Source organism: Homo sapiens, chromosome 8 (genome assembly GCF_000001405.40).
Source record: "Homo sapiens chromosome 8, GRCh38.p14 Primary Assembly".
Lineage (NCBI taxonomy): Eukaryota > Metazoa > Chordata > Mammalia > Primates > Hominidae > Homo > Homo sapiens.
The window spans coordinates 53,830,708-53,844,511 of record NC_000008.11 but is presented as its reverse complement, the minus strand read 5'-3'; the positions used below and the strand labels follow the sequence as shown (position 1 = coordinate 53,844,511).

The 13,804-nt window shown below is 42.2% G+C and overlaps 1 protein-coding gene across 4 annotated transcripts in view, besides 2 other annotated features; it reads left to right on the top strand.

The window, feature by feature from the left end:
* Window positions 959-1,108: a silencer, noted in NCBI's record as "silent region_19193". NCBI's record gives its function as "represses an Ori minimal core promoter by ATAC-STARR-seq in GM12878 lymphoblastoid cells {active_cell/tissue: GM12878}" and the evidence as "EXISTENCE:reporter gene assay evidence [ECO:0000049][PMID:35858748]".
* Window positions 1,179-1,318: an enhancer, noted in NCBI's record as "active region_27360". NCBI's record gives its function as "activates an Ori minimal core promoter by ATAC-STARR-seq in GM12878 lymphoblastoid cells {active_cell/tissue: GM12878}" and the evidence as "EXISTENCE:reporter gene assay evidence [ECO:0000049][PMID:35858748]".
* The window catches only part of ATP6V1H (ATPase H+ transporting V1 subunit H), a 127,703-nt gene continuing 115,165 nt past the window's right edge, over window positions 1,267-13,804 (top strand). For 2 of the 4 annotated variants that reach the window (NM_213619.3, NM_015941.4), the window contains exons 1-3: window positions 1,267-1,478; window positions 2,787-2,934; window positions 11,426-11,528. In NM_213619.3, coding sequence (NP_998784.1) covers window positions 2,822-2,934; window positions 11,426-11,528 — 216 coding nt within the window. In that variant the 5' untranslated portion in view covers window positions 1,267-1,478; window positions 2,787-2,821. Of the gene's footprint in view, window positions 1,642-2,786; window positions 2,935-11,425; window positions 11,529-13,804 lie in introns of all 4 variants that reach the window. The other 2 variants (XM_006716455.4, NM_213620.3) reach the window with 1 other exon arrangement.

The window sequence follows — 13,804 nt, the reverse complement described above, 5'->3', positions numbered from 1 at the left end:
TGGGAGTTTCTTAGTACACGATCGGTTTCTTTTTCTCTTTTATGAAAGTTTTTCCCCTTAGATTTGCTTTCAAAACAACAGACTTTCACTTCTGGCTAAGACAGAATGAGTGACCTAGTACAATCTTTGACACTGTTATTATATATCTTTATTCATAATCAATGCATGATTTTGATTATTCTGACTTTAATTTTACGAGTAAAAATGGGTTGGTTATAAATCCCTTTCAAAGAATTTTTTTTTTTTCTTTTTGAGACGGAGTTTTGCTTTTTCTGCCCAGGCTGGAGTACAATGGTGCGGTCTTGGCTCACTGCAACCTCTGCCTCCTGGGTTCAAGTGATTTTCCTACCTCAGCCTCCCAAGCAGCTGGGATTACAGGCATGCGCCACCACACCCAGCTAATTTTTTGTATTTTTAGTAGAGATGGGGTTTCACCATGTTGGTCAGCTGGTCTCGAACTCCAGACCTCAGGTGATCCACTGGCCTCGGCCTCCCAAAGTGCTGGGATTACAGGAGTGAGCCACCGCGCCCGGCCCCTTTCATTGCTTTTTAAGGAAAACATGCTATCATATATACTTCACCTCCAGGGCAGTACATTCTTACTTTAAGGCAAAGACAGTTGCTGAGGCCTGGACTAGGGGAAAATTTGGGCTCCAGATGGGACTGTTGGATAAAATACCAGACGTCCTGTAAATGTGAATTTTAGATAAACAACGAATAACTTTTTAGTATAAAAGTAAATACTGCAATGGAATTTATTATTTGCTAAATGTGCAACCCTAGGTTAAGAGAGCTTTTCAGACCCACTTCTCAGCCCGAGTTTTCTATTTAAAATCAGAATAAGAACGCCTGCTTCATGGAGCTGTTAAATCCAAATGGAAATTAATTTGAAAGCGCGAAATCAAACTTTTCAAAAGAATGACGGTTACAATAAGAGCGTTTTGGCCTCTGCTAGCTGCTTCCGGGCGGAGGTCCTCGGCCTCCCCTAGGCGAGGCACTAGGTCTGGGGGCGGCGGGTCTTAGCGTGCCCGCCACGCTCGCCGCCTCCCACCTGCCCTGGCTGGCTGGGGCCCGACCCTTGCGTCGCTCCGGGGCCCAAGTTACGGACTCGGGAATCCAGTTGTCCGCACCGAACAAGCCCCGCCGCAGCGCCCGCCCCTCCTCTTGCTGCTTTGGAGTCTCCCGGCTTCCGCCTTCCGCAGCAGTCACGTGCCTCCGATCACGTGACCGGCGCCTCTGTCATTCTACTGCGGCCGCCCTGGCTTCCTTCTACCTGTGCGGCCCTCAACGTCTCCTTGGTGCGGGACCCGCTTCACTTTCGGCTCCCGGAGTCTCCCTCCACTGCTCAGACCTCTGGACCTGACAGGAGACGCCTACTTGGCTCTGACGCGGCGCCCCAGCCCGGCTGTGTCCCCGGCGCCCCGGACCACCCTCCCTGCCGGCTTTGGGTGCGTTGTGGGGTCCCGAGGATTCGCGAGGTAAGGCCGCCCTCGCGTTGTTTGGTCTCAGGCTGCAGACCAGGTCAGGCGACTCTTGCAGTTTCTCCAGCTTGCCTGGTGCGTGCTGGTGTCTCGCCGCTTGGTCCTCTCCTGTTCTTCGGCCCCCGGTTGCCAGATTGCTTTTCTTCCAGGCCTCAACCAGGTTTATTAAGCGAAATTCTGGAGCCTTTCTCGCAGGGGGAAGAAACGTCAGGGGCGGGCAGGAGAGTGGAGGGGGAGGGGTAAAAAGTATACCTTCTCCAGGACTGGGCCACGGCCCTGGATCGCTGGGGGTGCGAGTAGTTCAGGGACTTAGGTAATTGTCTAGAGACACCTTGAGCTACGCCAGGACGGGCCGCTGAGGCTGAGCCTCCTTGGCTGCAGAGTTCCAGCCTGGCCCAGTTGAAGCCTGTTTTTTCCTGGGCCCTGTCGTTCGCGCTGCCCAGGGTTGTTTATACAGCAAATCTTCAGATACAGAGATTAAGTTCCAAATTGATTAAGATCGTTGGAAACCCGGAATATAATTTTGGGTAGGATTTTAACTTCTTTGTGGCCATGGCCGTGAATTTATGTTTTGCAAGTGGCAACCTGTATTTTGCTTTGTGTTAAAATCAGTCGTTTGTATCTGGAAGTTTAGGAGTGAGAATTACATAGAATTTCATTATTGTAGGTTCTTGTCGTCCAGCCAGACCGCCATTGTTGGCTTACCTAAATTGTAATATGTATTTGTTCTAAAACTTTCTCTCCGAATTTTGATTTTGCAAATACTATGAATTTTGTTTGAAAAGGAAAGCACTGTCTTCTAAGAAATTATGTTCCCACTTTGTGTATTTTAATTTGAGTAATTTTCGAAAGGACTTAGAATTTTTAATGTGCCACTTCAAAATGATGCTTAGTAAATGTTTATAAAACTAGCCTTATCCGTACTATTCATATTCTTATTGTTTCTCTATGAGAAAAGTTAACCACAATTGTATAAATTTACAATTTTTCCCATATTTATACCTATTCTATTTAATCATGATTTCTGATTTCAGTATATTAGGTGATTGCTTTAAAAATCTTACTGCAGTGTTAGTGCCAATAATGAAAAAAATTTTTCTAGAAAAGCAAAAGCCTAAAGAACTCTTTTATGGAGCAGTGGACAATATTTGAAATATAATGATACTTTCAGACTTAGGACATTTAATATTTGAGTTGAATGCCTGGGGAGATTAAAGTGATCACGATATTCATAATCATAATATTAATAGTTGTAAAAAAAAGAAACACCTCGTATTCTGTTTTTACCTTGCATCAAAATTGAAGATTTGTTGAAAGACATTCAAGATTACGAAGTTTAGATGACCAAAATGGATATCCGAGGTGCTGTGGATGCTGCTGTCCCCACCAATATTATTGCTGCCAAGGCTGCAGAAGTTCGTGCAAACAAAGTCAACTGGCAATCCTATCTTCAGTAAGTACCAATTTGCTGTGAATCATGGACAGTCATATGCTTTTGCATCAGACTTTTTCATGGTCATGCTTCTATGAGAGAAATACAGGGAAAATACTGAAAAATGTGGAAGAAACACTTCCTCTTCAGAATAATTAGCTGTCTTAGGGAGTTAAGTGTAGTGGGGTGGAAACAGCTTGGCGCCCTAGTGGGGAAGCAGAGCGGCTTATGGTGCTTTTGACCTTCTCTGGCTGCCTGGGGAAGTACTTTTGGAATAAGTGGGAAACATAGGAGGAATGTCCTTGGGCTAACGGAGGGAGGAAGGGGATGAGGGGCAAAACCTGCTAGACTGGTCTGATATGCCCTGGCAATCAGCATGGGGGCAGGTGGCCTTTTTAGAGTGGTGCATACAACTAATAAGAAGCACAGATATTTGAGTTGAGAGACTTGGATTTGAGTTTTGGTTCTTGCTATTAGTTTGGTGATCTTAAGCAAATCACTTAACTTCTCTGAGGCTCAATAAAGTAAAATGTGAAATGGGGAGACATACCCCACAGGCTTGTTGCTGAAATAATGTATTTATTAGCACAGTAGAATACAAGCATTAGTATGTTGAATACAATACATTTTAGTTCCCCCTTCTTTCTTGTATGTATTAATATTTAATGTGCTGATGTTTCAGTATTTTGTATTTATCTATAAAGTGAGCATTCATGTATTCTTGACCATATTTTATTGACTTCATATTTATTTTGGTATATTTATAACTGAGTTACCAAGGAATTCAGTTCAGATTTGCATATGCATTTTGAAAAACAAATTGAGGAATCTAGTTTTATATTAGTGTTAATTTTATATTAGTATTAATAGTTTGTGTTGTTGTAGGAGGGATCTATAATGTACAAAAATGATCCTTTAATTTCTGTTAATTTAATCACTCATCAAACATTTATTGATTACCTGCCAAGTTTGAGGCATTTTTCCAGGCTTTGAGGCTACAAAAATTCCATACAGAGTACTGTCCCTGAAGGAACTAAAACTCTAGTAGGGAAGTCAGATGTATTAATAGATCATTTTAATTCACTATTTTTTTTTTTTTTTGAGACAGAGTCTCACTCTGTTGCCCAGGCTGGAGTACAGTGGGGCAGTCTTGGCTCACTGCATCCTCCGCCTCCCGGGTTCAAGCAGTTCTCCTTCCTCAGCCTCCCGAGTAGCTGGGATTACAGGCACCTGACACCTTGCCCGCCTAATTTTTTTGTATTTTTAGTAGAGACAGGGTTTCAACATGTTGGCCAGGCTGGTCTCGAACTCCTGACCTCGTGATCTGCCCCTCTTGGCCTCCCAAAGTGCTGGGATTACAGGCGTGAGCCACCGTGCCCGGCTCTAATTCAGTATGTTAACTGTGGCAATAGAAAGATGCACAGGGTCTGGCAGGTGCACATAAAAAAGACAAGTAATTCTACCCCTTGGAAATTTTCCTGAAGGGGCTGGTCCCTGAACTGAGTTTTTGAGGATGATGGGTATTTAGCCATGTGGCAAGTAGGAGCAGCCTTGGGAATAGAACAGATAATGTGAGCAAAGGCAGGGAAGCAAAAACAGCACACTGGGTGGGAGTCATACATGTTTTGGAGGCAGGCAATGCAGAGAGCTGAGGCTAGAGAGGCAGCCAGGGGCCGATCGTGAAGATGCTGTGTGTGGGTGTGTGGTTGGAAGGAGTTTGGACTTGATCCTATCAGTCAGTGCTTTTCAAGCTGATTTTTAAGCTGTGAAGCCCATGATTGATATGAAGTTAGCATGTAAAACAGATGAAAATGATAGAATGGAGGTGGGAGTGTGTGTCCCAGAGCCCTCTTTTTGAGACCATTCACCATTTTCCAAGGAGCTGTAGGTGTTGGAAACCAATGAATCTTGTAGCCGGGAGTTAGAAGACCATATCTGCCTCTTGATTGAATTGTTCTACTAGCAGCATGAAGGGTGAGTTTGTAGGTGATAAGTCTAGAGGTAGAGAGAAGCTATAGCAGTAACCAAGGTATTGGAATAGATAGAATTGGTTAGATTGAGAGAGTCTTAGTGATTGATTTGGTGTGTGGGGGTGAAAGAGAAGTCTTGGATGACTTCTGGATTCCTACTTTAAGGAACTGGGTTATTGTGGGGCCACTGACTGAAGGACAGGAGGAGGGGAGACTTGCTGATGTTTTCTCTGTTCATCAGTGTTTGTGTAATTGTTTAAATTCCCTGTGAAATTAGGATTCTGAGCTCTGTTTCCTAATTTCTTTAGTCCAGAGTGCATTTAGACTAGAGGACAGGGAGTTTTATGTTTATAAAGCCTGGATCTGTTTATAGCCTACATAGAATAATATTGTTGATCATAAAGCACTGGTGGACTGGCCAGAGCTCCGCCTAACGTTGGCATTTGGAATGTTTGTAGTTACATGGAGCTTTTAAAATTGCTTTATTTCTGTTCTTCGTTACCCATGGTCTATGACATGTTGTGTTTTCCCGTTTTCCTATATATCTGTCTTTTGTTCTGATGTCCATCTCACAAATTTCTTTTGTAAAACCCCTCCACTCCGTAGGCCTGTGGGCAAATGTTCACCAAATGTTAACTGTGGGCCTGTTGAGCCTGTTGATGTGTGGGTGCTGGTGGGTGTGAAATGTGTCTCATATAAAAGAGCTTACAGATTGTTGGGGGCTGGAACCAACACATGAAGAATCAGTGAATCTTCTATCACATTCTGTACTGAGATAATAAGACCTGTGGAAGCGTCCCCCAGTGTCGAGAGCCCAATATGCTTTTGTTCTTCACAAATTAATATGTTATGAAAATACAGTATTTGAAACATGTATTTATATTTGATTAAGCTTTTTTCTTAATAAATAGACATACATAAATGAATGGGTATGGCTGTGTTCTAGTCAAACTGGAATCTGGTAAAACTACCTTGAGGATACAAGAATTATAAAATGCCATCCTTGCTCATGAGTTTAAATCTCATGAGGAAACAGACTTTTATCAAATTAAATAGCAAATTGTGCTAAATGTTAAGATAGAGAAATATATAAATATATAAAGTGTATATATATTTACAACAAAAGGAAATACACAACAAAAAGTGGGAGCAAATAAATGCTGGGAGTATTGGGGGAATTTTCACAGAACGCATAAAGACACTCACAGGTGGCCAGGCGCGGTGGCTCACGCCTGTAATCCCAGCCCTTTGCGAGGCCGAGGTGGGTGGATCACCTGAGGTCAGGAGTTTGAGACCAGCCTGGCCAACATGGTGAAGCCTCATCTCTACTAAAAAATTAGCCGTGTGTGGTGGCAGGTGCCTGTAATCCCAGCTACTTGGGAGGCTGAGGCAGGAGAATCGCTTGAACCTAGGAGGTGGAGGTTGCAGTGAGCCGAGGTTGCACCACTGCACTCCAGCCTGGGCAATAGAGCAAGACTCTGACTCAAAGAAAAAAAAAAAAGACAGTAACAGGAGTTGTCCAGGCCGAGGAACACCTGGAGTTATCTAGGAAGGGAGGTCCAGGCAGGGAGCTGAGGCCTGGGAGGACATGCAGTGCTTGGGAGCTTCAGGTAGTTCAGTGTGGCTCTCTCCAGGCTTCTTCATTTACCAGCTTCGGAGGCCAAAAACCTTGGGGCCATCCTTGCTGCTTCCCTTTTGCTCACAGTCCATGTCCAGCCCATCAACACATTCTTCCAGCTCTACGTCCAAAAGATGCCTCGAATCTGAGTGCGATCCTGTGTCTGCGGTTCCTGCCTCGTGCATGTTGTGTTCCCCTTGCATGTGCTCTGTTGTTATTGCCTGTTGCCTGCTGTCTGTCTCTGCTATCCTTGCTGCCTCAGTAGGAGCAATTCTTCACAGAACTGCGAGAGTGATTTCAAAAAAATACAAGTCTGATCATGCCCCCTCGCTCACAGCTCTCTAGCTCCCGCCTTCTTGATCTTTCTCACATAGCAAACCTCAGCTCCTTGGACCTGTGTATCTGTCTCTCCAGAAGTTCCACCCTTAGATTCTTTGGCCTCTTCATTCACTTCATTTGTGTGGCTGTATAGGTGATCTCACAAGCCCCCTACCCGGACTGGTTTTTTTTTTTTTTCCATAGCATTTACAGCCTTAGCATTATAACATGTGTGTGTGTTTTCAAGATTATTTGTTTTTGTATTTGCGTATTTTCTGTTTTCCTCACTGGAGTGCAGGCTGAAAAGAGGGGTCCCTATTTATTGATGTGTCAACTGTTCTTACAGGTGCCTGGCATGTAGTAGGCTGCCAGTTAATATTAGTTGACTAAATTATGAATGGAGTATTGTGCTTATCAGGAATTGGTGGAGATGAGTATTTGGAAAAGGAAGTAACATGCTTGGTAACTAACATCCTATTTAACATTATTTTCATAGAAATACAGTGACATAGGTTTTTCTATCCTATTCACTCTCTCTTTTTTTTTTTTATGAGATGGAGTTTCACTCTTGTCGCCCAGGCTGGAGTGCAATGGTGCGTTCTTGGCTCACTGCAACCTCCGCCTCTTGGGTTCAAGTGATTCTCCTGCCTCAGCCTCCCGAGTAGCTGGGATTACAGGCACCTGCCACCTCGCCTGGCTAATTTTTGTATTTTTAGTGGAGACAGAGTTTCACCATGTTGGCCAGGCTGGTCTCGAACTCTTGACCTCAGGTGATCCACCCGGCTCTGTCTCCCAAAGTGCTGGGATTACAGGCATGAGCCACCATGCCCAGCTTCTATCCTATTCTCTTTTAAAGATGAGTAGATAACTGTTCTGATGGGTTAAGTAACATGTGCATGATTATATAGGTTTTAGTTAGTCAATTGATTTTAAATATTTTTACTGAATGCCTCTGCGTAAGTGCTAGGTAGAACTCACAGTCCAAGGGAATAATATGACCCCATATGTACTTGAGAAGGCCGCCTGGTAGTAGGTAAGAAGATGGTTTTGAAGAAGGTTGAATTGGATGCGGGGAAATCCACTGGTGGAAGGTTGTCCTAGTGCTGAGCTACTCCAGAGGCAGGGAAGTAGAGAGGAGAGTAGTTTTAAGGGGAAGATTGTTAGGTCTGGGGCCTGATTAGCTGTGGGTCATTCTAGAAGATACCAGAGCCCCGAACCTGCTGGATTATGGAAATGTCAAAGGAAGACCCAGAGAGAAAATAACTTAAACAAGGAAAGAAAAAGGTTAGGGAGTGGCTAGACAAATAAGAAACAGTTATTTTAATGGAAAAGAAAGCTGCAAAATTATAAGGTTACCAAGTGTAGCCTTCATGGTATACCTTCTTCATGGTAGAAAAACCACCACCTTTTGACATGATTTTCTTCACAGAGGTTATGACATCCCTTTACATATCAGCATAGCAAAATTTAGGGGTAAAATTATTTTTATCTAGGAAGTTCAGGTTTATCAGTGTGCTCAACATTTCATTTATTTTGGGGCCAGATCTAGACTGGATGACCTTGTTATTTTAGTCTACCCCAGGGTGCAGAGTGCATTTTTTCCTGACCGGTACGTGAAGTGCTTAGCCAGAATGGAAAGTGGGCAAAGTGTCTGTTTTTGCTTCCAACTTCTAGCCTTTGGGATTAACAATCTTAGTTCTGCGCCTGTAGGGTGTGGAGTGCCACTGCCATCTGTGGGAGGATATGAGTGGGGACCGGGGGAAATAATGCCAGAGTTCAGCGCAGGGGGTGTAGTGAGAAATGAAGAGAGCTTTTCATAGTAGCTGAGGCACAGGAGGCAGTGAAGATGAGTGACTTGAGTGGGATGAGAAGAATCTGGAAGCTAAGGAAGAGAGTGTCAAGATGTAGTCATAGTGTCACCTGCCTAAGAGAGATCTAGAAAGACAGAATTCTCCTTTGGGTTGGTAATTAAGAAATTGTTGAAAAAAATAAATGCATGAGAATAGTTTAAAATGTTAAAAAATGAGCATGTGTGAAAACAAAGTTACAGTGCTTAAAACAGTGTGAAACTGATGTAAGAAGACAGAATAGTGAATTACAAAGTCCAGAAGCAAATTTGAACTATACAAAACAATTTGGCATATAGCAGTAGTATGTACAAAACCCAGAAGGGACACTGATAGATTTTTGAATATGTAATAATCAAGGTCTTCTTTGGAAGAGGGTGGGGTTAAGGGTAGAAGTAGTAGGACATATGCAAGTTCAGGTCCCTTCTCTTGGGGAGGGGACAGTTCTGAGTGCCTCACCTTCCCAGGCTCTCCTGTGGGCTCAGGGAAAGCTGTCCTGGGTTCTTTGCTTGAATCCTGCTGGGCTTTTTTGCTTCAGTGTCCTGAGCCCTTCATGCTATCCCTGGCTTCTCCTGGGAGCTCTTCTTTCATAAATCACTTGTACATGAATCTTCGTCTCAGGGCCCAGCTCTGGGAGCCTGACCCGAGGCAGCTCTGAAAGTGGGCCATCCTTCTATAACTATGCTTTTTTTTTGTTTGAGACAGGGTCTCACTCTGTCACACAAACTGGAGTGCAGTGACACAATTTCAGCCCACTGCAACTTCTGCCTCCTGGGTTCAAGTGATCCTCGTGCCTCAGCCTCCCGAGTAGCTGGGACTACAGGAGTGTGCCACCACACCCAACTTATTTTGTTGTTTTATTTTTTGTAGAGATGGGGATCTCACGGTGTTGCCCAGGCTTGTCTTAAACTCCTGTGCCCAAGGGGTCCCCCCATCTTGGCCTCTCAAAGTGCTGGGATTACAGGCATGAGCCACTGCACCTAGCCTAACTGTGCATAGTGGGAACCTGCTTTACATTCAGTGTTTCTCTGAGTGGGTTTTGAGAACACCAATTCCTCAACATATTTGGGGTCAGGGGAGGAGGGACAATTTTTTAAACTACTGAGTTAAAAACTATATTGGGGCCAGGCGCAGTGGCTCATGCCTGTAATCCCAGCACTTTGGGAGGCTGAGGCAGGTGGATCACGAGATCAGGAGTTCGAGAGCAGCCCGGCCAATATGGTGAAACCCCGTTTCTACTAAAAATAAAAAAATTAGCTGGGCGTGGTGGCATGGGCCTGTAGTCCCAGCTACTCGGGAGGCTGAGGCAGGAGAATGGCTTGAACCCAGGAGGCAGAGGTTGCATTGAGCTGAGATCGTGCCACTGCACTCCAGCCTGGCAACAGAGTGAGACTCTGTCTCAAAAACAAACAAACAAAAAACCAAAAAAACTATATTGGTGTTGTTTGAACAGGAAAATAGATTACAAAAATTTTTAATTTTACACTTGCTTTTACCCATGTTCTAATATACAGCGAGTGCTTTTTCTTATATTTTTTCATTTAATCTGCATAACCACCTAGTGGGCTAGGGCAGGTAGTATCATAGTTGCTGTTTTACTGGTGTGAATAGTGGTCAGATGAATAGTGACTTGCTAAGCTTTCACACCTGGAACTGGAACTCTTCCCCATATTGACTCAAATTCTCTGCTTTTCCTACCATACTGGTGGCTTAAAGGAGCTGACTTGAATGAATCCTGAAGTGCCCAGAGTCTTACAGGGGGCTAGCAGGTCTGTTCTGCTGACACATCTTTTAGACAAGGAAGGGTCTGTATTTAGAGATTAGGATGGGGGTTTGCTATATTGTATGATTGAGTCCCTGAGGAGTGGAGAAGTTGGGAAGGTTGAGCTGTGTTTCTTCTACCTCCAGAGATAGTCTTATCATTTTCAAATTCAGCAGCATCACCACCGGGGAAAGTGACAGTGGGATATCATCTTCACTGGGGATGACAGGGAAGATGACAGGAACATGATGCTGAATTTGAAAATGGTAAGACTATCTCTGGAGGTAGAAGACAGTGGAAATGATTGGGAGGGAGGGAAGATGGGACTCTCGATTGAATCTCTCACAGGAAGGAGTTTGGAAATCAAAAGCAAGATTTCAGTGATTGAGTGCTGGGGAGGAGCCTTGAAGGGCGAAGAGCCAGTGATGAAGCGACCCCTGGAAGAGATGGAGGAAAATAGGAGAGTGTGGGGTCAGGATGGAGAGTTATTTTCCAGAGAGGAGGAAAATCAGTTTTGTTTTTTTTTTTTCTGTCTGGAGGGAAAGAATGTACTAGAGAAAAATGGTCGTAGAAATTCATATAAAGTGGCTTTGGACTTGATAAATTAGATAGCCATGTGAATTGTTTGGCTTGAGAGGGGGAATAAGGGTGAGACACTGGGTAATGCTGAGAGGTGACATTTTACTGAGTGCCTACCATTTGCCACATGCTACTAACCACCTTATGTGAATTTAATTTTATCCTCAGTACAGCCCCTTAGAGGCAATGCGATTATTGTTCGCATTTTGCAGATAAATTAACTCAGGTTCCAGGGAGTTCACACTGTCTTATTTGTGGAGAAACTAAGCATTGAATCCAGGTCTGTCTGATGCCAGGGCCCTTGCGTCAGCCCTTGTGGTTTGCTGCCAAGGAGAGAAGAGAAGGACTGAAAATTCCTCTATCGCTTGCTTACATATTCAACTCTTACTGAACAAAACATCTTATTCTTACTTTCTAGGGGACAGATGATTTCTGCTGAAGATTGTGAGTTTATTCAGAGGTTTGAAATGAAACGAAGCCCTGAAGAGAAGCAAGAGATGCTTCAAACTGAAGGCAGCCAGGTGATGAATAAACATTATATAATGAACACTTCCCCGTGTCATCCAAAAGTTTAGAAAAATCTTAGTGATTATAAGTGACTTCCAGTTTTCTTGCTAATTTGGAAAGAACGTTATATTGAGCATGTTTACCTTCATCCTTTTCTGTATTTCTGAATATTTTCTTAGAATATACACCTGGAAGACAAATTTCTGGAAAAGAAGTTACTGTTTCAGAGTATGTTAAGTTTTAAAAGTTGCTTAACTTTTCTTTTTTTAAGAGAATTTTTTCCACTTGGTATTCTTACTAGTAATGTTTGAAATACCTAATATAATTGAAAATGTTTGAATTTGCTAAGTTAAAAGGGATATCACTTTGATGACATGGGATTACATTATTTTCCTGTTGATTTATTAAGTATTTATATGTCCTTTGAAATTTTTTTGGCGGTGGCATTCTTTTTATTTTAATATATAAGGTTTTGTTACTTTTTGATAAACAGTCTTTTTACATACAAAATTTATTACTGTTTGCCATATTTATAGCAAACATAGTTTCCTTTTTTACTATTTATCTTTGAAGGGTTGTGGAGTTTTTTCATATACAGTGGTTTAAAATGTTTAGTTACATATATTGATGTTTTACATTCTTTCATGGTAAGTTTATTGTAGAAAAATAAAATACTATTAAGCAAAAGAAAAAAGTTATTCTACCTAATATTTCTCTGTTCAAGGTGACTTGTTTACACTTAGCGTATACCTCTCTAGATATTTTTCTGTGCATAAAATAACTTATACACTTATTTCTACAAATGTGAACTTTTTACAAAAAGGGGTGATATGTACATATCTTTGTTCTTTTCATTTAACTGTATATTCTTCCCTTCCCTACTATGCCTGTAAAGATATTTCTGTGGTATTTAAAATAATTAATTTATTATTATTTCCCATTTATGGAAAGTTCCGTTGTGTAATTTTCCATTTAATGGATGAACCATAATGATCTAAACTAATTCTATACTGTTGCATATTTTGGCTACTTCCTTTTTTTTCTGTTTTGAGGCGAACAGTTAGTAATCTCATAATTAATTCGAGAAGTGCAATTATCTGGCTGGGTGCAGTGGCTCACACTTGTAATCCCAGTACTTTGGGAGACTGAGGCGGGCAGATCACTTGAGGTCAGGAGTTCGAGACCAGCCTGGCCAACATGGTAAAACTTCGTCTCTACTAAAAATACAAAAAAAAAAAAAAAAAAAAAAAGAGTGTAATTATTGATTAAACTATTTGAGCGTGTGAGAGTTTTGATATGATGAAAATGCTGTCTTGATAGATTGTACCAGTTTGCAGATCCTGCCAGCAGTATATGAGAGGGCCCATGCCCCTGCTCCAGCACCCCCTCTGGGTCTAGCCATTCATCTTTTGGTCATTTTGATAGGTGAAAGATAGTATCTTAACGTAATAGTGTTACACATTTTCAGATGGTTTTTGGCACCTTTTGTATCCATATCGATTGCTTCTATACTGTCATGCACTGACTACATAAAGATGTTTTGGTAAGTGTTGGACTGTGTATGTAATAGCGGTCTTGTAAGATTATACTACCATGTTTTTACTGCACGTTTTCTATGTTTATGTTTAGACACACACATACTTACTATTGTGTTACAGTTGCCTATAGTATTCAGTATAGTTACAGACTGTACAGGTGTGGAGCCATAGGTTCTACCATATAGCCTAGGTATGTAGTAGACACTACCATCTGGGTTTGTGTAAGTACACTCTAGGATGTTCACACAACAAGGAAATTGCCTAATGATGAATTTCTCAGAACTTTCCCCATTGTTAAGTGACACATGGCTGTATGTTTTTTATTTACTTTTCTATGGAAGTGTTTATAATCTTATTGATTTGTCAGTTTCCTTTATGTTTTAAGTATACCAGCTTTGTGCATGCCATATTTCCTCAGCTTGTTTGTTGAATTTTTAACTTGGTTTATGGGGTCTTTGCCATATTGAAGTTTAAGTTGTGCGATGAAATCTAGTTCTTCCTTTCCTTTGTGATGTCTGCTGTTGGTGTCATCCTTTGAAAAAGCTTCCCCACCCCAACCGCATGTGCAATGGAACATGTAGCTGATTCACTGTTTTTTCAGCACATACACACTGAGTCCCTGCCATGTGCCTGGTGAGACTGGGGATGTGTGTTAATAAGACAAGACTTTTCCCTTAAGGAGTTAGGAGTTAAAACAGCCCTTTCTTTTCTTTTTTTCTCATTTTTTTTTAAACCTGTTTCTTAGTAAGTGT